At 46.2% G+C, this 22,997-nt stretch overlaps 1 protein-coding gene across 10 annotated transcripts in view; it reads left to right on the top strand.

The window, feature by feature from the left end:
* The window catches only part of SLC1A6 (solute carrier family 1 member 6), a 60,611-nt gene extending 39,825 nt beyond the window's left edge, over positions 1-20,786 (top strand). For 5 of the 10 annotated variants that reach the window (NM_001384669.1, NM_005071.3, XM_047439234.1 and 2 more), the window contains 7 exons: positions 2,312-2,516; positions 6,458-6,500; positions 8,474-8,817; positions 14,110-14,343; positions 16,490-16,684; positions 17,757-17,891; positions 20,429-20,786. In NM_001384669.1, coding sequence (NP_001371598.1) covers positions 2,312-2,516; positions 6,458-6,500; positions 8,474-8,817; positions 14,110-14,343; positions 16,490-16,684; positions 17,757-17,891; positions 20,429-20,624 — 1,352 coding nt within the window. In that variant the 3' untranslated portion in view covers positions 20,625-20,786. Of the gene's footprint in view, positions 1-2,311; positions 2,517-6,457; positions 6,501-8,473; positions 9,505-14,109; positions 14,344-16,489; positions 16,685-17,756; positions 17,892-20,428 lie in introns of those variants that run through there. The other 5 variants (NM_001272088.2, NM_001272087.2, NM_001384670.1 and 2 more) reach the window with 3 other exon arrangements.
* The last annotated feature ends 2,211 nt before the right edge of the window (positions 20,787-22,997 follow it).

Below are 22,997 nucleotides of genomic sequence, written 5' to 3'. Positions count from 1 at the left end.
ACTACTAATAGCCTACTATTGACTGGAAGCCTTACAGAGAGCATAAACAGTTGACTAACTCATATTTTGTATGCTGTAAGTATTATATACTATATTCTTTTTTTTTTTGAGACAGAGTGTCGCTCCGTTGCCCAGGCTGGAGTGCAGTGGCACAATCTCCGCTCACTGCAAGCACCGCCTCCTGGGTTCATGCCATTCTCCTGCCTCAGCCTCCTGAGTAGCTGGAACTACAGGCACCCGCCACCATGCCCGGCTAATTTTTTGTATTTTTAGTAGAGACAGGGTTTCACCGTGCTAGCCAGGATGGTCTCGATCTCCTGACCTCGTGATCCGCCCGCCTTGGCCTCCCAAAGTGCTGGGATTACAGGTGTGAGCCACCCCGCCCGGCCATTATACTATATTCTTAAAGTACAGTAAGCTAGAGAATAGAATGTTATTAAGAAAATCAGGCCAGGTGAGGTGACTTATGCCTGTAATCACAGTGCTTTGGGAGGTTGAGGCAGGAGAATTGCTTGAGCCCAGGAGTTCGAGATCAGCCTGGGCAACACAGTGAGACTCCATCTCTATATAAAATAAAAAAAATCAGCAGGATATGGTGATACATGCCCATAGTCCTAGCTACTCGAGAGGCTGAAGCAGGAGGATCACTTGAACCCAGGAGGCTGCAGCGAGCTGTGATGGCACCACTGCACTCTAGCCTGAGCAACAGGGTGAGACCCTGTCTATTAAAAAAATGATAAGGAAGAGAAATGTTATCTACTATTAATTGAGTGGAAGTGGATCATCATAAAGATCTTCATCCCCTTTGTCTTCATGTTGAGTAGGCTGAGGAAGAAGAAGAGGAGGGCTTGTCTTGCTGTCTCAGGGGTGGCACAGGCAGAAGAAACTCCATGCATAAGTGTACTCGAGCAGTTGAAACCCATGCTGTTCAAGGGTCAATTGTACTCGATTCTGCCATTGCAGCACAGAAGCAGCCATAGACAATATGAGAACAAATGGGCATGGTTGTGTTCCAATAAAACTTTATTTACAAAAGCAGGCAGAGGGCCGGATTTGGCATGAGTAGCAGTTTGCCAATCCCTGGATTTGGGGATGGGGAAGAAGAAAAAGGCATGAAGAAATGGCTTCTTAGGTTGGGTTTCCTAGAAGCAGAGCCTGACTGAGATGGGGATATCTGCACAGGTGATTTATTGCGGGATAGCTCTCAAGAGAAACTCGCAAGGAAGTGAAGGAAGTGGGACAGGGCTGGGAAACCAGTGAAGCAAAGATGTGGGTTTCAAAAGAAGGCTGGCCTCTCAGCCTCATCTCATGGGGAGCTCTGGAGTGTGAGCAGAACCACAGAATTGAATCCCTCCCCAGCTCTACTGCCACCTGAATCAAAGGAGTTGGCCATTGTGAATCCCTGCACAGTCATTCTTTGGCTCTAGGTCTCCCCTGGGGTTTCTATGGGCAAGGCAGCTCCCATTTTGCTGAGGGCAATTCTCAGGAGAAGTGGGCAGCCTGAGCTATTGTACTCAGTGCTCTCGGGGCTGAAGGATCAGCAGATTGGCTTGGGAAAGGGTGTAGGAGTGGAGCACCAAGAATATGTGCCACAAAGGGTGCGCCGTGAGGTGGGTTGGAGGAAGGTGTGATTTTGGGATTAATAGTGGGATGACAAGTGGAATGAAAGTTAGGTTATGGGCCAGGCGCAGTGGCTCATGCCTGTAATCCCAGCACTTTGGAAGGCTGAGGTGAGTGGATCGTCTGAGTTCAGGAGTTCGAGACCAGCCTGGCCAACATGGTGAAACCCCGTCTCTACTAAAAATACAAAAATTAGCTGGGCATGGTGGCAGGTGCCTGTAATCCCAGCCACTCGGAAGGCTGAGGCAGCAGAATTGTTTGAACTGGGGAGATGGAGGTTGTACTGAGCTGAGATCGCACCATTGCACTCCAGTCTGGGCGAAGGAGAGTCCGTCTCAAAAAAAAAATAGTTAGGTTATGGTGCAAAACAAGAGAAAACAAGACTCAATAGAGGATGGGGTGAAAGTGTGGAAAAGGTGGCTTGGAGTAGAGGGAAGGCAGTAGGATAGTGGAGTGCTGCTTGGGATAAGGGTTGGGATGGCGTGTGAGGGTGTGTATTTGGAAAATTAGAAGTAGAAAGATGGTGGTGCGGGTGAATGGGTAATGGGTGGGTTTTGGGGTGGGCTATAGGAAAAGGGATGCTTGGTGGGTCGGCTGTTGAGTTGGTGATATGGGGAGGGTGGAACGGATGCTAGGAGAGCTGGCGTTGGGTATGCATGGAGCTGCGGGGGCCACATCATCTGTCCTTCAGGTATGGCATCCCTGGACAACAAGGCCACGGGGCGGATGGGGATGCGGGCAGCTGTGTACTACATGGTGACCACCATCATCGCGGTCTTCATCGGCATCCTCATGGTCACCATCATCCATCCCGGGAAGGGCTCCAAGGAGGGGCTGCACCGGGAGGGCCGGATCGAGACCATCCCCACAGCTGATGCCTTCATGGACCTGATCAGGTGTGCCAACCTAAAAAACCACAATATACACATTTGAAAAAGGAGACTTTATTTATTGTAAAAGATTATAGCCTGCAAAGAGGTCATCCCACAGGCTGGGAAGCATGCGTCCGGTCAAGAGCAGAGACGGGCACTTCTAAGGAGGAGGGGTTGGAGTAGGAGCTTTATGCTGAATGGGTTGGCTAAACATGCATATTCAACAGGTTACAGGAGGAGCTATGAATATTCATGTAGGTGGCCCTGATGCATGCATATTGAAGAAAGTTGCATGTAACATATGACCCCATGTCCACTTTGGGGTGGATACTTAACATTTACTTAACATTTAAATGTATCACATTTAGGCTTTATACATCAAAAGGTCTTTTCAGGACACGAAGGTACCCAAATGCACAGCCTCTGTCAATGAGCCAGAACCAGCCCATGGTCAGTGGTGTTATCAGGAGAAAGTTACTGAAATCAGTCTCTTGTCCAATCAAAGCTGTAGTTATGGCTGGTGGAACAGGGGCCCCATTAGTCCTTGTCTGTGAGCTGATGAGTTGTAATTATTTTAATATTGCTTATCATAAGACTAGTGTTTGTTTAACTCCTAGAGAAAAAGAAGAACCTTTTGACAGCTAGAACACAATTTATTCTTTGAGCGTAGGGTCCATGACTTAACCCCTGCGTGGCATGGTCTTAGATCCTCCTTATAATTTGGTATCTTATTGCCCCAAAGAGCCTGTTCTATCAGTCTTATGATTTCTGTTTTAATTTAATGCATTAATAACATTAATGTGGGTTAGTTGTTGTGTCTAGATTATAAAAGGGAGAGAGTGTAAGGAGGCGTGTCTGACCTCCTGTCCCATCATGGCCAGGAACTCAGTTTTAAAGTTGTTCTGGGGTCCACTTGGCCACAAGAGAGTCTGTTCAGCTGTTGGTGGTGGTGGTGGCTTAGGTGTTACTTTTAGTTTACAGGTGACTGTACTCATTTTGATATGATTTCTGACTCTACTTGCAACAACTCATACTGAAGGAGAGACAAAGGGGACAGGCTCCCGCAGCCTGGACATAGCAGCACCCATAGTATCCACTTGTGGTACCCAATTTCTGCCCTGGAGCCTTGTATATATTCTCCAACAGCAGCTGCTGCTAGAATATGATCTTAGGATATGACCCTTAAGGTGGGGTCAGAACAGCTGGTATTTGCCTAAGCATCATTGGAGGGTGAATGATTCTCTTAGAGCAGCATGATTTTTTAATTTATATTTTATTTTATTTTTTACTTTAAGTTCTGGGATACATGTGCAGAACGTGCAGGTTTCTTACATAAGTATACATGCGCCATGGTGGTTTGCAGCACCTATCAACCCGTCATCTAGGTTTTAAGCCCCGCATGCATTAGGTATTTGTCCTAATGCTCCCCCTCCCTTTGCCCCCACAGCCCCCAAAAGGCCCCAGGGTGTGATGTTCCCTTCCCTGTGTCCATGTATTCTCATTGTTCAACTCCCACTTATGAGTGAGAACATGCAGTGTTTAGTTTTCTGTTTCTATGTCAGTTTGCTGAGAATGATGGCTTCCAGCTTCATCCACGTCCCTGCAAAGGACATGAACTCATTCTTTTTTATGGCTGCATAGTATTTGCATGGCATATATGTGCCATATTTTCTTTATCCAGTCTATCACTGATGGGCATTTGGGTCAGTTCCAAGTCTTTGCTATTGTAAATAGAAGCAGCACGATTTTTTAAAAAATTAACTAAATTTTTGATTTTTTATTTTTATTATTAAAAAATATTTTTGCTATTAATAGTTGCCTTTACTCTTTTAATTGTTTTTATTTTTATTTTTGCACTCCATTGCCCAGGCTGGAGTGCAGTGGCATGAGCTTGGCTCACTGCAACCTCCGCCTCCAGGGTTCTGTTGTGCCTCAGCCTCCAGAGTAGCTGGAATTACAGGTGCACGCCACCACACTGGACTAATTTTTGTATTTTTAGTGGAGACAGGGTTTCACCGTGTTGGCCAGGCTGGTCTTGAACTGCTGACCTCAAGTAATCTACCTGCCTCAGCCTCTTAAACTGCTGAGATTACAGACGTGAGCCACTGTGCCCGGCCTATGAAAAATTTTTTAATTTTTAATTTCAATAGCTTTTGGGGAGCAAGTGTTTCTTTGTTACATGGATGAATTATATAGTGGAGAATTCTGAGATTTTAGTGCATCCGTCCCACTAGTAGTGTACATTGTACCTAATGTGCAGCTTTTAATTTCTAACTACTCTCCCCGCCTCCCGCTTCTGAGTTTCTAAAGTCCATTATATCACTCTGTATGTTTCTGCATACTCATAGCTTAGTTCCCACTTATAAGTGAGAAATACTGTATGTGGTTTTCCATTCCTGAATTACTTCACTTAGAATAATGGCCCCCAGCTCCAACCATGCCAAAGACATTATTTCTTTCTTTTTTTTTTTTTTTTTGAAACAGAGTCTCACTCTGTCGCCCAGGCTGGAGTGCAGTGGCATGATCTCAGCTCACTGCAACCTCTGCCTTTCGGGTTCAAGCGATTCTCCTGTGTCAGCCTCCTGAGTAGCTGGGATTAGAGGTGCCTGCCACCATGCCCAGCTAATTTTTGTATTTTTAGTAGAGACAGCGTTTCATCATGTTGGCCAGGCTGGTCTCAAACTCCTGGCCTCGAGTGATCCACTCATCTCAGCCTTCCAAAGTGCTGGGATTACAGGTGTAAGCCACTGCACCCAGCCTATTTCATTCTTTTTCATGGCTGAGTAGTATTCCATGGTGTACATATATCATGTGTTCTTTATGCACTCATCAGTTGATGGGCACTTAGGTTGGTTCCATTTCTTTGCAACTGTGAATTGTACTGTGATAAACATATGTGTGCAGGTGTCTTTTTGATATAGTGACTTCTTTTCCTTTGAGTAGATACCCAGTAGTGGGATTGCTAGGTGGAATGGTAGATCTACTTTTAGTTCTTTAAGAAATCTCTCAGCCAGGCGCAGTGGCTCACGCCTGTAGTCCCAGTACTTTGGGAGGCTGAGGCAGGCAGATCATGAGGTCAGGAGATTGAGACCATCCTGCCTAACATGGTGAAACCCTGTCTCTACTAAAAATACAAAAAATTAGCCAGGCGTGGTGGTGGGCAACTTTAATCCCAGCTACTTGGGAGGCTGAGGCAGGAGAATTGCTTGAACCCGGGAGGTGGAGGTTGCAGTGAGCCGAGATCGCACCACTGCACTCCAGCCTGGGCGACAGAGCAAGACTCCATCTAAAAAAAAAAAAAAAGAAATCTCCATACTGTTTTCCATAGAGGTTGTACTAATTTACATCCCCACCAGCAGTGTGTAAGTGTCCCCTTTCCCCCACATCAATGCCAACATCTATAGTTTTTTGACTCTTTAATGATGGCTGTTCTAGCTGGGGTTAAGGTGGTTATCTCATTGTGGTTTTAATTTTAATTAAAGCAGCAAGATTTTTGCCACACAGAATCAAGGCTAGCCATGGTTCTACCTTAATCATGGGCCTAGACGAAACCTAAAGTTAAAAGGGTTTAAGAGTTTTCTGTGGTTTTTTGAGGCATCACTGACACATGTGTGTTTGAATTAAAGTCCTTGAGGTGATGTAGGGCTCTGGCCACATGCTCAGACAGACCTGGATTTGAGGGCCATCTGCACCTCTTAGCAGCTCTGTGGCTCCGGGTAGCTTACATCAATTCTCTGGGCTGTGGTTTCTTTCTATGTGAAAGGCGGCATTCAATAGGACTCATGTCTAGGGTTATTGTAGTGTTTTAATCAGATGATAGTAAGATGCTTGCTCAGTGCCCAGCCTAGAGGAAGCATTCATATGTTGGCTGCACTATTGTTGTTCTTGGTGTTAGTATTACTGTTATCACCCTAGATGCCCTTCCATGGTCTAACCACTTTCCTTCTTCTCATGTTTTTCTGCAGAAATATGTTTCCACCAAACCTTGTGGAGGCCTGCTTCAAACAGGTCAGGGGGAAGTACACAGTTTGATCAAGGAGATTCGGAGGGTGGTGGGAGCTTGGGGCTGAAGGGATGGTCCAAGGGCAAGAGGCGGGAGGAAGGGCCTGACAGAGCAATGGGCAGGGGTTCTTGAGGAGTCTAGGAGAAAGGATGTATTTTCCATGGTGATCTGGGGGGGTTAGGGAGAAGCACTTAGGTCCGAGAATGGTGGATCAGGCTTGTAATCCCAGCACTTAGGGAGGCCAAGGTGGGAGGATCACTTGAGGCCAAAAGTTCAAGACCAGCCTGGGCAACAGAATGAGACTCTCTGTCTTTCAAAAAAAAAAAAAGATTAAAAAAAAATTAGCTGGACACGCCTGTCTCAGCTACTTGGGAGGCTGAGGTGGGAGGATTGCTTGAACCCAGGAGATCAAGGCTCCAGTGGTCACACCACTGCACTCCAACATGGGTGACAGAGCAAGACCCCATATCAAAAAAAGAAAAAAAAAAAAAAGAGGACTTAGGCCAAGGACTTCCTGAGCACAGGGCTAGAGGAGGCAACAAGGCTGGTGTAGAGATTCCAGAAATTTTGACCACAGATGGTTGAGGGGAGAGGCCCTCAACTCTGGTTAAGCATTGCTCAGGGAGCTTGTGAAAAATTCAGAATCTATACTACTTCCACACATTGGTTGTTCACTTCCTCATTCATTTATTCAGGCACTTATTCTTCAAAAAATATTTTTAATTTATTTATGTTCAAATTCACACAAAGATTATATGTATTTATGAGGTATGATGATGTTTTGAAATATGTCTGCATTGTGGAGTGGCTCAATCAAGCTTATTAACATATCAATTACCTTATATACTTAACATTTTTTGAGATAAAGACACTTAAAATCTACCCTTCTGGTGATTTTCAAATACACAATACATTGTTATTAGCTATAGTCACCATGTTGTATAATAGAGCTCTTGAACTTATTGCTCTTGTCTAGCTGAAATTTTGTGTCCTTTTACCAACATCTCCCCAATTTCCCTGCTCCCCAGTCCCTGGTAAGCACTATTCTATTTTCTGCTTCTATGAGTCCAACTCTTTTAAATTTCACATATAAGTGAGAGCATGCAATATTTGTCTTTCTGTGCCTGGTTTATTTCACGTAGCACAGTGTTTTCCAGGTTCAACCCTCTTGTCACAAATGACAGGATCCCCTCCTTTTTCAAGGCTGAATAGTATTTCATTGTATATGTATACCACATGTTCTGTATCCATTCATTCACTGATGGATACTTAGGTTGATTTCATATCTTGGCTATTGTGAATAGTACTGCAATAAACATGGGAGAGCAGATATCTCTTTGAGATACTGATTTCATTTCCTTTGGATATATACAGTAGTGGGATTGCTGGTCCTATGGTAGTTCAATTTTTTTTTGTTTTTTTGAGATGGAGTCTCACTCTGTCGCCAGGTTGGAGTGCAGTGGCACCATCTCAGCTCACTGCAACCTCCGCCTCCCAGGTTCAAGCGATTCTCCTGCCTCAGCCTCCCAAGTGGCTGGGACTACAGGCACGCACTGCCACACCCAGCTAATTTTTGTATTTTTAGTAGAGACAGGGTTTCACCATGTTGGCCAGGATGGTCTCAAACTCCTGACCTCATGATCCGCCTGCCTCGACCTTCCAAAGTGCTGGGATTACAGGCGTGAGCCATGCCCGGCCGGTAGTTCTATTTTTAATTTTTTGAGGAAGCTCCATATGATTTTTCATAATGGGTTTACTGATTCATTCGCTCATTCTTCCATGCACTATTCAAGTCATTCATTCACTCATTCAGATCTGCTGAATGAGTGATAGTCGATAATGAGTGATAATCGATAATGAAGATCTTATCGATCTTCCAGGGTGTGGGAACTGGGAATCAGTGGTCTCAAGGAATTTCTCCAGGCGATTCTAATGCATCCGCTGAATTGAATCTGGGCGCAATCTCTCTCTATTTCAGTTCAAGACGCAGTACAGCACGAGGGTGGTAACCAGGACCATGGTGAGGACAGAGAACGGGTCTGAGCCGGGTGCCTCCATGCCTCCTCCATTCTCAGTGGAGAACGGAACCAGCTTCCTGGAAAATGTCACTCGGGCCTTGGGTACCCTGCAGGAGATGCTGAGCTTTGAGGAGACTGTACCCGTGCCTGGCTCCGCCAATGGCATCAACGCCCTGGGCCTCGTGGTCTTCTCTGTGGCCTTTGGGCTGGTCATTGGTGGCATGAAACACAAGGGCAGAGTCCTCAGGGACTTCTTCGACAGCCTCAATGAGGCTATTATGAGGCTGGTGGGCATCATTATCTGGTGAGTCCTGGTCTGTGCCCACGGGATGGTGGAGCCAGAGCTGGGAAGTCAGGCTGTGGGGAAGCTGCCGAAGGGCTTGCTGGGGACTTTTGGTCATTCATTTACGTATTGGGTGATTCACTTACCCACTCACCAACTCATTCATTCATGTCTTTCTGGGATGATTTCATCACTAGTTGACTTCCTTGTTCATCTGTTCATTCATTCATTCTTCTATGCATTGGTTAGTTCATGGAATATCTCACTCTTTCATTCATTCATGTCCTTCTGCAATGATTCATTCACTGCTTTGTTCATCTGTTCATTCACTCATTCTTCTATGCATTGATGAAATCACTCATTCAGTGATTTATTCATCTATACTCATGCTTCAATGCATTGATTTACTCATTTCCTCATGCATTTATTCATTCATCTATGCATTGGTTAAATCACTGGCCAACTCACTAACTCATTCATTCATTCACACTTTTCTGCAATGATTTGTTCACTTGTTCACTCCCTTGCTTATCTGTTCATTCACTCATTCTTCAATACATTGACCAAGCCATTCACTGACATTTATTCAGCTACATTTATTCTTTCATGCATTGGTTTCTGGATTTATTTGGTCATTCATTTATTTATTTTGCAAAATTAATGTATTTTTAATTGACAAATAAAAACTGTATATATTTTCATGTGCAACATAATGTTTTGAAATATCTCTACATTGTGGAATGGTTCAGTTGAGCTAACTAACATAGACGTTACCTCACATGCTTATTTTTTTGTGGTGAGAACACTTAAGATCTAGGCAGGGTGTGGTGGCTCATGCCTATAATCTCAGCACTTTGGGAGGCCAAGGTGGGAGAATCACTTGAGCCCAGGAATTTGAGACCAGCCTGGGCAACATGACAAGACCACAAAAAATACAAAAAAAATTAGCTGGGTGTGGTGGCATGCAGCTGTAGTCCCAGCTGCTTGGGAGGCTGAGGCGGGAGGACAGATTGAGCCTGGGATGTAGAGGCTGCAGTGAGTTGTGGTTGCCTGGGTGACAGAATGAGACCCAGTCTCAAAAAAAAAAAAAAAGGGAGAGACCACTTAAAATCTACTCTCTTTGTGATTTGCAAGTACACAATACATTGTTTTTAACTATACCTACCATGTTGTCCAATAGATCTCTTGAACTTATTTCTCCTATTTAACTGAAATTTTGTACCCTTGATCAACATCTCCCCAATCTCCCTTTCCTGCGAGTCCCTGGTAACCACCATTTTACTCCCTGCTTCTGTGAGTTTGATTGTTTAGATTCCACAGATAAGTGAGATCATGTGGTATTTGTCTTTCTGTGTCTTGGTTATTTCAATTAGCATAATGTCCTCCAGGTTCATCTGTGTTGTCACAAGTGACAGGGATTTATTCATCTCCTATGCATTGGTTAGTTACTATTCATTCATTCATACCTTTCTGCAGTGATTTATTCACCCATTTACTTCCCCATGTATCTCTTCATTCACCAATTTATTCACTTATTCATTCTCATTTTTCTATCGGTTCATTCATTTTCTTATTCATCTATTCATTCTTCCATGCATCAGTTAACTCACTCATGTATTCATTCACTCGTAAATTTATTTACAAACTCATCCATGCATTAGTTAAATCATTGATGGATTCATCTGTTTATTTACTCAGTTAAGTCATTTATTCATTCTAATTCATTCTTGGACTCACTCATTCATCTATGCATTTGTTATTCTTTCATTCATTTATTCAAGTATTCTCTTCATTCACTCATTTGTTCACGTATTTGTTCACTCAGCTACTAACTTGTTTCATTTGCTTATTTCCTTACTTATTCATCCAGTTGTTAATCCCTTCCTTCCTTCCTTCCTTCCATCATTCCTTCTCTAGATTCCTTTATTACTTCAGAAATATCTTTATTCACTCAGCAGGCATTTTCCCAGGCAGACTTTGTCTTGACCTCTGGAGTACAGAGATACAGTGCACTCATACCTTGTCCTCAACAAGCTCACAAAATCTTAGGGGAGACAGACACATTGTAGATCAATATAACACAAGGTGGTAGGTTCTGTAGTAAAGGAACATTTAAAAAATGTTGGGAACTTGGAGAAGGAAGCAGTGAGTAGAGGGGTACGCAGTGAATGCTTCCTGAAGAGGGAGTCATGAAGAAGGTCACCTGTTAACTGCGTCTTGACAGGTGAGTAGGACTTCAACTGGACAGTGAGAGGGGAGACGTATTTCAGGCAGAGAGAAGAGAACATGCAAAGCTTGAAGGTACCTAAGTTGTTTGGAGAATGGTGGGGCATTCAGGAAGGTGAGAGCATGGGGTAAGTTGGGAGTGGTGGTGGAAGATATTAACAAGGCTGTCAGATCCCAAATGGGAGAAGACTTTGTACATCATCCCAAACAATTGGAAAGTTGTATAGTGTCATATGTAAAATGTTTATTTAGAAACAGAATGCTTGTTCCCCAGTGCCATAAAGAAATAGCACTCAAACATAAATTTAATTATCTCAGCAAGGCAATTTTTACTTCTGCAGAAAGGGTGTTCATCACAGATGGAACAATGGCAAGAGCACACCTGAACAAAGGAGGGAAGAAGCAATTTTTATCCCTTATGCAGTTTGTCCCTGCTACTGTGTCTGTCTCCATTGGCTGGAGCCAGACTTTACAATCTAAACTAAATCCCGACTGGCTAATAATTTAAAACTTTTCTAAATAGGTAAAAGCAATGGAAAACAGAGGAAAAGAGGAAGTTGCTTACAAAAGGACTTAGAAAAGTAATAACATTCCCAAATAAGGAAGGGGTATAGGCTGCAAGCTGGGACATGCCTGTGAGCACATCCAGCACAGATATCTTGGTTAAAGTACAAGGACGTAGAATGTACTATGTGCCTGTGAGCGTGTCTAACACCTACATAGGATAGGGCTTAACAAAGAGTTATTAGCATAAAGTAAGGAGGCTTGAAGGAAGTTAGTCTTTAAAAGAAACTATTTTTAACACTTAAGATTTATTCTTTAACAAGAAGGGAAACTTTGAAGACGAACTTTTACTTTCTTCATATAAGGAACTTGAGGCCAAGTTGAGGGCCTGGAAAAGCATCTGAAAGGAATGGGAGTGGGGAGCTTATTAAGGATAAGCAGAGAGTTAACAAGGAATAATGAAGGCTCAGCTGAATTGGGAACAATGAATTTATAGCAGTGTCATTGGCATGATTGGGTGAAATGTCCAGATGTGCCAGGTGGCTGAGTGTAGGGGGTAAGAAATCATGCACAATTAATCTTGGGCTGAGGAATTTTGCAGGGGATGAGGTGGAAGGATGGAGGTGAGGAAGTTGAGAGAGGGATTACTCAGAGTAAGCATAGAGGTGGATCTAGTCATGTTGACTTGGAGAAGACTCAGCAACTACTCCCCAGGGCTAACTCTGAGCCCAGTTTGGAGAACACAGATGTGACTGGAGAAGCCCCGTGCATCCTCATTTTTGACTCAAGCTATTGTACCACCTTCCCAAGAGGTCCCCACCTCCTCCAACACATCCACGATGAATGTGAGCCAAAGTAGATTTCAAATTTTTTTTTTTTTTTGAGATGCAGTCTGGCTCTGTCGCCCAAGCTGGAGTGCAGTGATGTGATCTCAGCTCACTGCAACCTCTGCCTCCTGGGTTCAAGTGATTCTTCTGCCTCAGCCTCCCGAGTAGCTGGGACTACAGGTGTGCACTACCACACCTGACTAATTTTTTTATTTTTAATAGAGATGGGATTTCACCATGTTGGCCAGGCTGGTCTCGAACTCCTGACCTCAAGTGATCTGCCCTCCTCGGCCTCCCAAAGTGCTGGGATTACAGGCATGAGCCACCATGCCCAGCCATAAACTTCAATTTCTAAAGAAAGAGGAGTAGCCATTGAAGCCTCGAAATGAGATGATGGTGCCAATGGCAGAAACTCACTCGATTGACCCGTGGGCTGGATTATGGGGGGAAACAGGTGAGCCCCTGATGAACTTGCTTCTTTCATCTTCTCTATTCTCCTTTTTACTCAATACTCCAGCCACATTGGTCTTCTCTCTGGTCCTCCAGCACTCCTAGTGCATGCCCATCTCAGAGTCTGCATTGTGCCTGCAATGATTTCTTCCAGATACACAGGGTACCTTCTCATCATGCAAGTCTCAGCTTAAATGTCACCTCTTCAGAAAAGCCCTCTCTGACCATCTGCTCAGAAGCAGTCCCATCCAGTGACTCTCCTTTGCTGTTATCACCACTTGAAGTTTGCAATTAGTGCATTTCTATGTGTACCTCCTGCTTTCCCCATTAGAATGTGTCTTAGTTCATGTCAGCTGCTGTAACAAAAATACCATAGACATTGTGGCTTAAAGAACAAAAATGTATTTCGCACAGCTCTGGAGGGTGGGAAGTCTAAGTTCAAGGCACCCACAGATTCCATGTCTGGTGAGGGCTGTCTTCTGGTTCATGGAAGGCGTCTTCTTGCTGTGTCTTCGAATGACAGAAGGGTGGAGGGAGCTCTCTGGTGTGTCTTTTATATGGGCACTAATTCCATTCATGATGGCTCTACCCTCATGACCTAATCACCTCCCAATACTATCCCATTGGGGGTTAGGATCTCAAGATATGAATTTGGTTGGAGTGGGGAGGGGACATAAACATTTAGTCCATAACAGAATGTAAGTGCTTTGAGGACGAGAGCCATGTGCCTGGTACTCAGTAGGTACTCAGTCAATATCTGTGGAATGAATGAATACATCGGTGATTTTGATAGGACAAGTGGTTTGAGAGGGAAATGCTTAGGCTGGTGAATGAGTGATAACAGGCACTGATAGGGAAGAGAATAGGGGCATACACATTTCAAATGTGGAACAAACAGTTGGGGGCAGAAGATAAGGGAAGCTTAGAAGGCCAGAGACAGGGAATGTCTTGGCAATGTCTAAGGAAGGAAACTGAAGGTAGTGATTATTTGGGGCAGGATTGAGAGAGCTTGAATGGGGAGTAGGTACAGGAGAGACCTGAAAGCTTGTATATCCTGGAGTTGTAGGAACTTTTCTACCATGGTGGGGAGATGTGGAAGAGCAGGAGGAGGAGGAGGTGGGCTTCATTCATGGGGCCCGGTGGCATTCATTAGTGTACGGGGAAGACTGGGATGGAGTAGGGTGCCGTATCATGGGTATTGTGTGGCTCCAGGGCCCTATATGGGCAAAGCCTTGGGGATGCCACCTTCAGACCTGCAAGGGAGGTCAGGAGGGAGCCCTGACAGGTATGTGGCTCCCTCACACAGGTATGCACCTGTGGGCATCCTGTTCCTGATTGCTGGGAAGATTCTGGAGATGGAAGACATGGCCGTCCTGGGGGGTCAGCTGGGCATGTACACCCTGACCGTCATCGTGGGCCTGTTCCTCCATGCCGGCATTGTCCTTCCCCTCATCTACTTCCTCGTCACTCACCGGAACCCCTTCCCCTTCATTGGGGGCATGCTACAAGCCCTCATCACCGCTATGGGCACGTCTTCCAGGTATGGCCTTGCTCCCCACCCCAGCACCATTCCTGGTTGCACTTCTTGTCCTTCATGTCCTCTCCTAAGGCACCTGCCCTCTCCATTCCTTAAACACCTCTTCTGAGTCGTCCAACAATGTCCAGGGCTCATAATGTCAACACCTGGGGTCCAGTCATTGTCCTGGGCTGGCTCTCCTGGTCTCCTTTTCTCCTTTCCTGTTTTTTAACTTTCTGTGGAGGAGAACCAGGTACCAGTTTTGAGGTTAAGAGGGAAGGTTCCAGGATGCCCCATGAGCTCAGTCATTTCCTAGCTCAGAGGGTGTCATCTCCACTTGTGAGATGGTGTCTGGGAGATCTCTTGGCTGCTGCTTCTTCCTTCTCCTCCTCCTTCTTCTTCCCCTTCATCCTCTTCCTCCTTTTTCTTCTTCCTCCTCTTCCTCCTCCTCTTCTTCTTTTGTAGTTTTAGGGGATTAATTAAGAGCATCATCCCAATTCAAAAACAAATTTGAAAAGTAGCACAACAGCCAAAAAGATGGAAGAATTTTTTTTTTCTTTTTTTTGAGACAGAGTCTCACTCTGTCACCCAGGCTGGAGTGCAGTGGTGTAATCCTGGCTCACTGCAAGCTCCGCCTCTTAGGTTCAAGTGATTCTCCTGCCTCAGCCTCCCAAGTAGCTGGGACTACAGGCATGCACCACCACACCTGGCTAATTTTTGTATTTTTAGTAGAGATGGGGTTTTGCCATGTTAGCCAGGCTGGTCTCGAACACCTGGCCTCATGTGATCTGCCCACCTTGGCCTCTCAAAGTGCTGGGATTACATGTGTAAGCCGCCACGCCCGGCCAAAAATATCTTTTTTTTCTTTTTCTTTTTCGTTTGACATGAGGCCTCACTCTATCACCCAGGCTAGAGTGCAGTGGTGTGATCTCCACTCACTGCAACCTCCACTTCCCAGGCTCAAGTGATCCTCCCACCTCAGCCTCCCAAGTAGCTGGAATCACAGGTGCCTGATTCCAGTCCTCCCGGCTAATTTTTTAGCCCTCCCGGCTAAGTTTTTTTTGTTGTTGTTGTTGTTTTTGGTAGAGACGGGGTTTTGCCATGTTGGCTATGGCTTGTCTTGAACTCCTGAGCTCAAGTGATCTGCCCGTCTCGCTCTCCCAAAGTGCTGTGATTACAGGCACGAACCACTGCACCTGATCAAAAATATAATTTTTAAAATTGCCCATAACGCTGGTCAGGGAATGTGCCTCTTGGTCTATGGCTAGGTAAGACTGATGTCACTGTATCCTAGAATTAAACTCACATAGTCACCGCTGAGCTGGACACCCAGAGACTCTCTTATGAGTCCAGGATTCCAACCGTATGATGTAAAGCTGACCACAGAACACACGCCTTGTGGACAGACTTACCCCAAATGAGATGCCCACTTCTTTGACTAAACTCGCCAATCAATTAGGTCACTTTTCTCCGATAAGACATGGCGGGTAGATGGATAGAGAAAGTTAGCACAGCTGAGGTCAATGCTGGTGCAAACAGGGGAGTCTGGAGTAGGGGCCCTCCCTGAAGTCAGCAGACCTTTGGTCCTGTCCTTTTTGGAAATGGATAGGTAGAACGAACTACTGCCATAAACTAGTGTGTAGTCATTGGCCTTAGCTATTGGCTTTAAGTGGGTGAAGAGATCTTCAGCTTGGGAGACCCTCATTGCTGTTTTCTTCCTGTATCATGAGGAGTTGCTCCTTTCCTTTGTACAGTTATCAGCCTCTGAAATGTTATACCCTTGTCTTCTGCATCTTGAGGAGCCCCCCACCTGGCCTGCTCAATGTTCTCAAGGGGAACGCTCCTTGGGCTCATTTCTGCCCAGGCCACGCCCAGCCCATGCCCTGCTCTGAGCCCCGCCCTGCCTTGCCACGCCCTATTCTCAGCTCTTCCTCACCTGGCCACGTCCTGCTCTGAGCCCCGCCTCACCTACTCCTCCCCTGTTCTCAGCCCCGCCCATGTGACCCAGCCCTACCCATTCTCAGCCGTACCCCACTAGGTCACGCCCTGTTCCCCAGCCTTTCTTCGGCCACGCCCCATTCTCTGCCCTGCCCCACTAGGCCACACCCTGTTCCCAGCCCCGCCCCCACCAGGCCACGCCCCATCCTCAGTCCTGGGCTCTTTCCCCCAGCTCGGCAACGCTGCCCATCACCTTCCGCTGCCTGGAGGAGGGCCTGGGTGTGGACCGCCGCATCACCAGGTTCGTCCTGCCCGTGGGCGCCACGGTCAACATGGATGGCACTGCCCTCTACGAGGCCCTGGCTGCCATCTTCATTGCTCAAGTTAACAACTACGAGCTCAACCTGGGTCAGATCACAACCATCAGGTGAGGGGGCTTGGGTAGGACCTGCCAGCAGGTGAGACTTAAGCGGTCATCAGCTTGGCTGGGAGGGTTGGGGAGGGAGGAGGGGGCCTCAGCTGGAGCTCAGAGGAGCCCACGGATGTTGGAAGCGGGATGTGGGAAGAGCCCAATGCCGGATGAGGTAGGTGAAAGGTAAAGTTGCCACCTGAGGCTGTCAGGAGCTGCCAAGACGTTCCTGTCAGTTTCCCTCTCACGTGGGAGATCCATTTGTCCAGTGTTTTCCAAAGCATGGCTGGTGCATCCTGATAACCCGAGGTTCTTGTATATAGATTCTTATATTTGTAGGCTCTATACATTTATTTATTCCTGTATTTATAGGTCCCATCATCCAGTGGTTCCAACTTAGTCATTATAAAAATAACAGTGAACATTGTCATCTCCTTCAGGTCTTCAGCGTTACTTTTTCAGGGAAGCCCTGTTTAAAATGGCATATCGGGTCTTGCTAAGGAGGCACTGTTTCCCCGTGTAGTACTATCTCCATATAGTATGAATTTTAGTTATTCATTTTGTTTATTGCCTGCTTCCCATACTAGAATGTAAGCTCTGTCAGGCGCGGTGGCTCACACCTGTAATTCTGGCACTTTGGGAGGCCGAGGTGGGTGGATCAGGAGTTCGAGGTGGTCAGGAGTTCGAGACCAGCCTGGCCAACATGGTGAAACCCCATCTCTACTAAAAATTAACCAGGCGTTGTGGCATGTGCCTGTGGTCCCAGCTACTCAGGAGGTTAAGGTGGGATTGAGTAGTGAGTTGCAGTGAGCTGAGATAACACCACTGCACTTCAGCCTGGGAGAGAGAGAGAGGAGGCGAGGCAGGGGCAAGGTGAGGCGAGGAGGGGAGGGGCGGGGTGGGTGGGGATCGAGGTGAGGCGAGGCGAGGCGAGGCATCAAGCAGTATTTTTCTCTCTGTGTCTGGCTTGGGTATTTAATTTAAAATGCCTTGGGGAGCTGATCTCTTCCCTTCTCTCTGTCCTTTTCCTCTCTCTTCCTCATCGCCTTCTTCCCTCCATCTGCTCCCCATGTTCTCCCTCCCCCTGCAGCATCACGGCCACAGCAGCCAGTGTTGGGGCTGCTGGCATCCCCCAGGCGGGTCTGGTCACCATGGTCATTGTGCTTACGTCGGTCGGCTTGCCCACGGAAGACATCACGCTCATCATTGCCGTGGACTGGTTCCTGTGAGTGTTCTCTAGGCTGGACCCTGGTGCTCCTGCTTCTGCACACACTGCTTTCCCCTGCAACGTCCTCGACCTGTGGACTTTTATTCCAGCAAAGATGCAGTGGTCCAGAATTTTCAAGTGAAAAGGAGGCCTTGGAGAGGCCTCCAATCCATGGCCTCTGGACCCCAAATCCCACAGTTATCTTTGGGAAGTAGGGTTGGAGACAAGCAATGGGGGCTTTACCTATCAGGCAGAAAAACTCCTCTTTTACCTGTTTTATGTAGAAGTCACCAAAAGGTGATCCAGGCCGGGTGCGGTGTCTCTACTAAAAATACAAACAAACAAAAAACAAAATTAGCTGGGCGTGGTGGCACGTGCCTGTAATCCCAGCTGCTCAGGAGGCTGAGGTGGGAGAATCGCTTGAACCTGGGAGGTGGAGGTAGCAGTGAGATGAGATTGCCTCCTGGGTTCACGCCATTCTCCTGCCTCAGCCTCCCAAGTAGCTGGGATTACAGGCGCCCGCCACCATGCCTGGCTAATTTTTTGGTTTTTTGTATTTTCAGTAGAGATGGGGTTTCACCATGTTAGCCAGGATGGTCTCGATCTCCTGACCTCGTGATCCACCTGCCTCAGCCTCCCAAAGTGCTGGGATTTGTTATTTTTTTTTTTTTTGAGATTATGTTTTGCTGTGTTGCCCAGGCTGGCCTTGAACTCCTTAGCTTAAGCAATCCTCTTGCTTCAGCCTCCCAAGTAGTTGGGACTACAGATGTGAGCTGCTACTCCCAGCTGCAAATATATATTTAAATCTCAATTTTTAAAAACAGGAGGTTTACGGGTAGGACACAGTGACATGTGCCTGTAATTCCAGCACTTTGCGAGGCCAAAGCAGGTGGATTGCTTGAGTTCAGGAGTTCAAGACCAGCCTGGGCAACATGGCAAGTCCCATCTCTACAAAAAATACAAAAATTAGCTGGGTGTGGTGGCGCACCTGTAGTCCCAGCTGCTTGGGAGGCTGAGGTGGGAGGAACTCTTGAACCTGGGAGGTTGAGGCTGCAGTGAGTCAAGATCACATGACTGTACTCCAGCCTGTGTGACAGAGCAACACTCTGTTTCAAAAACACAAAAACAGGCCGGGTGTGGTGGCTCACGCCTGTAATCCCAGCACTTTGGGAGGCCGAGGTGGGCAGATCACCTGAGGTCAGGAGTTCAAGACCAGCCTGGCCAACATGGTGAAACCCCATCTCTACTAAAAATATCAAAAATTAGCCGGGCCTAGTGGTGGGCGCCTATAATCTCAGCTACTCAGGAGGCTGAGACAGGAGAATCGCTTGAACCTGGGAGGTGGAGGTTGCAGTGAGCCGAGATCGCACCACTGCACTCCAGCCTGGGCAACAGGAGTGAAACACCATCTCAAAAAACAAAAACAAAAACAAAAACCAGCAACAACAACAAAACCAGGAGGTTTACATTAAAGGAAGCCTGGACTTTCATTCCCACATGGGAGCTGTCAGCTGAGCCTGAGTTCCAATTTTATAATCTTCAGCCTGCCCTAGTCTACACCTGTATTGACTCAGGCCTGCCCTGGTTTACCATTCCGGATTCTATGTGCTTTTCAGTTCATAACCCTTAATCGTCTGCATGAGATGTTCATTTTTTTCTTTTCTTTCTTTTTTTTTTTTTTTTTTTTTTTTTGTGAGACAGAGTCTTGCTCTGTCACCCAAGCTGGAGTGCAGTGGCTCGATCTCAGCTCACTGCAACCTCTGCCTCCCAGGTTCAAGTGATTCTCCTGCCTCAGCCTCCCGAGTAGCTGGGATTACTACTGGGCATGCCACCATGCCCAGCTAATTTTTTTTTTTTTTTTTTTTTTGTATTTTTAGTAGAGACAGGGTTTCACTATGTTGGTCAGGCCGGTCTCCAACTCCTGACCTTGTGATCCGCCCGCCTTGTGCTGGGATTATAAGCATGAGCCACCACGCCCTGCCTCATTTTCTTTTTTTTTGAGAGACAGGGTCTTGTTCTGTCATCTAGGCTGGAGTGGAGTGGCATGATCATAGCTCACTGCAGCCTTGACGTTCTGGGCTCAAGTGACCCTGCCATCTCAGCCTCCCAAGTAGCTGGGACTACAGGCACATGCTACCATCCCAGGCTGTGTTTTAAAGTTATTCTATGTAGAGACGGGGTCTTGCTATGTTGCCCAGGCTGGTCTTGAACTCCTGGTCTCAAGCAATTCTTCTGCCTGTCAGCCTCCCAAAGTGCTGGGATCATATCTTTTTAATGATATGATCTTTTTTCTGTAAACCACACCCAGCCTCATTTTTTAAAAAATATCACATCTAAGATCAAACATGAACATCTCAGACCTGGTCCATCCTGTTTGTTAGTAGGAGAAACAGGGCAGAGAGGGGGAAGAACCTGCTTGGGGACATGTGGTCATGGATTGTACTGCAATGGGAGCCCTCTGACTCCCTGGCACAGGGACCCCCCTCTGCTGCACCCTCTTTCTGTGAAGCTTTTCAAGCCCCCATTAATGGCAGCTTCTTTCTCCCCTGTACCAGTGACCGGCTTCGCACAATGACCAACGTACTGGGGGACTCAATTGGAGCGGCCGTCATCGAGCACTTGTCTCAGCGGGAGCTGGAGCTTCAGGAAGCTGAGCTTACCCTCCCCAGCCTGGGGAAACCCTACAAGTCCCTCATGGCACAGGAGAAGGGGGCATCCCGGGGACGGGGAGGCAACGAGAGTGCTATGTGAGGGGCCTCCAGCTCTGCCCCCCCAGAGAGGAGGGAAGGGGGCTGGGGAGGGGAGTCCTGGTGACACATCTGTTGCCCAACTGACCGTGGGCTGAACACACGTTCTGCTTGACTCATTTAGGGGGGAGGGAAAAGTGAAATAAAGGAGCAGGAATGAAAGGTATATAAGGTCTCTGTTTCTCTCTGAGCATATGCTGAGGGCTTGAAGGACGGCGTGAGCAAGGGAGGGGAAGAAACGTTTCTCCTAGGTTTGGGGAGAAGGGAAGCTTCAGCTTCAACAAGAAGAGTGGTCAACTCATGTTTCTCACATTCTCAAAGAGTGGCGGAAGAAGAAGGTAAAGAAAAACCATTATTTCTCCTGATAAAACAATATCCATGGTCTCTGTGTCAGGGGTCCCCCAAGACCACCTTTAGGTTCAGCAATTCACTAGAAAGGCCCATAGAATTCAGGGTTGGGCGTGGTGGCTCCCGCCTGTAATCCCAGCACTTTGGAAGGCTGAGGCGGGCAGATCATGAGGTCAGGAGATCGAGACCAGCCTGGCCAACATGGGGAAACCCAGTCTCTACTAAAATACAAAAAATTAGCCAGGCGTGGTGGCAGGCGCCTGTAGTCTCAGCTACTCAGGAGGCTGAGGCAGGAGAATCACTTGAACCCGGGAGGCGGAGGTTGCAGTGAGCTGAGATTGGCGCCACTGCACTCCAGCCTGGTAACAGAGTGAGACTCTGTTTCAAAAAAAAGGAAAGACTCATAGAATTCAAGACAGGCGTGGTGATTCACACCTACAATCCCAGCACTTTCAGAGGCCAAGGCAGGAGGATTGCTTGAGTCCAGGAGTTTGAAACCAGTCTCAAAAAATAATAATAATAATAAAATAAAATAAAAAGACTCGTAGAACTCAGAAAAGCTATCATACTCACAGTTATGGTTTATTACAGTGAAGGGTAAAGATTAAAATCAGCAAAAGCAAAGGTGCATGGGACAGAGTCCAGGAGAGACCAGATGTGAGTTTTCAGTTCAGTAGAAATGCCCCTCGCAGGGCCGTTTTCAGTTCAGTAGAAAGCAATTATATCTCCCAGTAATGAGATATATATATATATATACACACACACACACACACACACAAGTATATATATACACGTATATATATACACACGTATATATACACACACACATATATATATACACTATATATACACGTATATATATACACACGTGTATATATATATACACACACGTGTATATATATATATATATATATGTATATATATATATATATATATATTTTTTTTTTTTCAGACAGAGTCTCTTTCTGTCACCCAGGCTTGAGTACAGTGGCAAGATCTCGGCTCACTGCAACCTTCACCTCTCAGGTTCAAGCAATTCTCCTGCCTCAGTCTCCAGAGTAGCTGAGATTATAGGTGCCCACCACCACGCCTGGCTAATTTTTGTATTTGTAGTAGAGACGGGAGTTTTGCCATGTTGGTCAGGCTGGTCTCAAACTCCTGACCTCAAGTGATCCGCAGCCCTGGCCTCCCAAAGTGCTGGGATTACGGGCGGATCACCTGAGGTCAGGAGTTCGAGACCAGCCTGGCCAACATGGTGAAACCCTGTCTCTACTGAAAATACAAAAATGAGCCGGGTGTGGTGGTGGCCACCTGTAATCCCAGCTACTCAGGAGGCTGAGACAGGAAGAATCGCTTGAACCCAGGAGGTGGAGGTTGCAGTGGGCTGAGATTGCGCCACTGCACTCCTGCCTGAGCTACAGAGCCAGACCCCATCTCAAAAAAAAAGATAAATAAATCAAACAGAACAACAACAACAATAAAAAACCACTTTTGGACTGTTTTGTAATAACGGGTAGCTTAAATAAATTGTACAGCTGTACAAAAATGTTTTTTCTTTATATTCTTATTCTATATGGTTTTTTTTTTCTGTTTAAAAAATTTGTAACATACGCATTATCCTAGGCCTACACAGGGTCAGGATCATCAGTATTACTGTCTTCTACCTTCACATCTTGTCCCACTGGAAGGTCTTCAGGGGCAATACCACGCACGGAGTTGCCATCTCCTGTATTAACAATGCCTTCTTTTAGAATATCTTCTGAAGGACATGCTTGAGGCTGTTTTATGGTTAACTTTTTCTTTTAATAAGTAGAAGGAGTAACCTTTAAAATAGTGATAAAAAAGTATAATATAGTAAGTACACACATCAGTAACATAGTCGTTTATTTTCATTGTCAAGTATTCTGCACTATATACATAATTGTATGTGCTTGCCTTTTATACAGCAGGTGGAACAGTAGATTTGTTGACACAAACGTGTGAGTAATGTGTTGCATTCTGAAGTACAGTGACTATGAAGTCATTAGGC

The sequence above is a fragment of the Homo sapiens genome, chromosome 19 (genome assembly GCF_000001405.40).
Source record: "Homo sapiens chromosome 19, GRCh38.p14 Primary Assembly".
Lineage (NCBI taxonomy): Eukaryota > Metazoa > Chordata > Mammalia > Primates > Hominidae > Homo > Homo sapiens.
The sequence above is the reverse complement of the archived record's forward strand: the minus strand, read 5'-3'. Positions and strand labels throughout refer to the sequence as shown.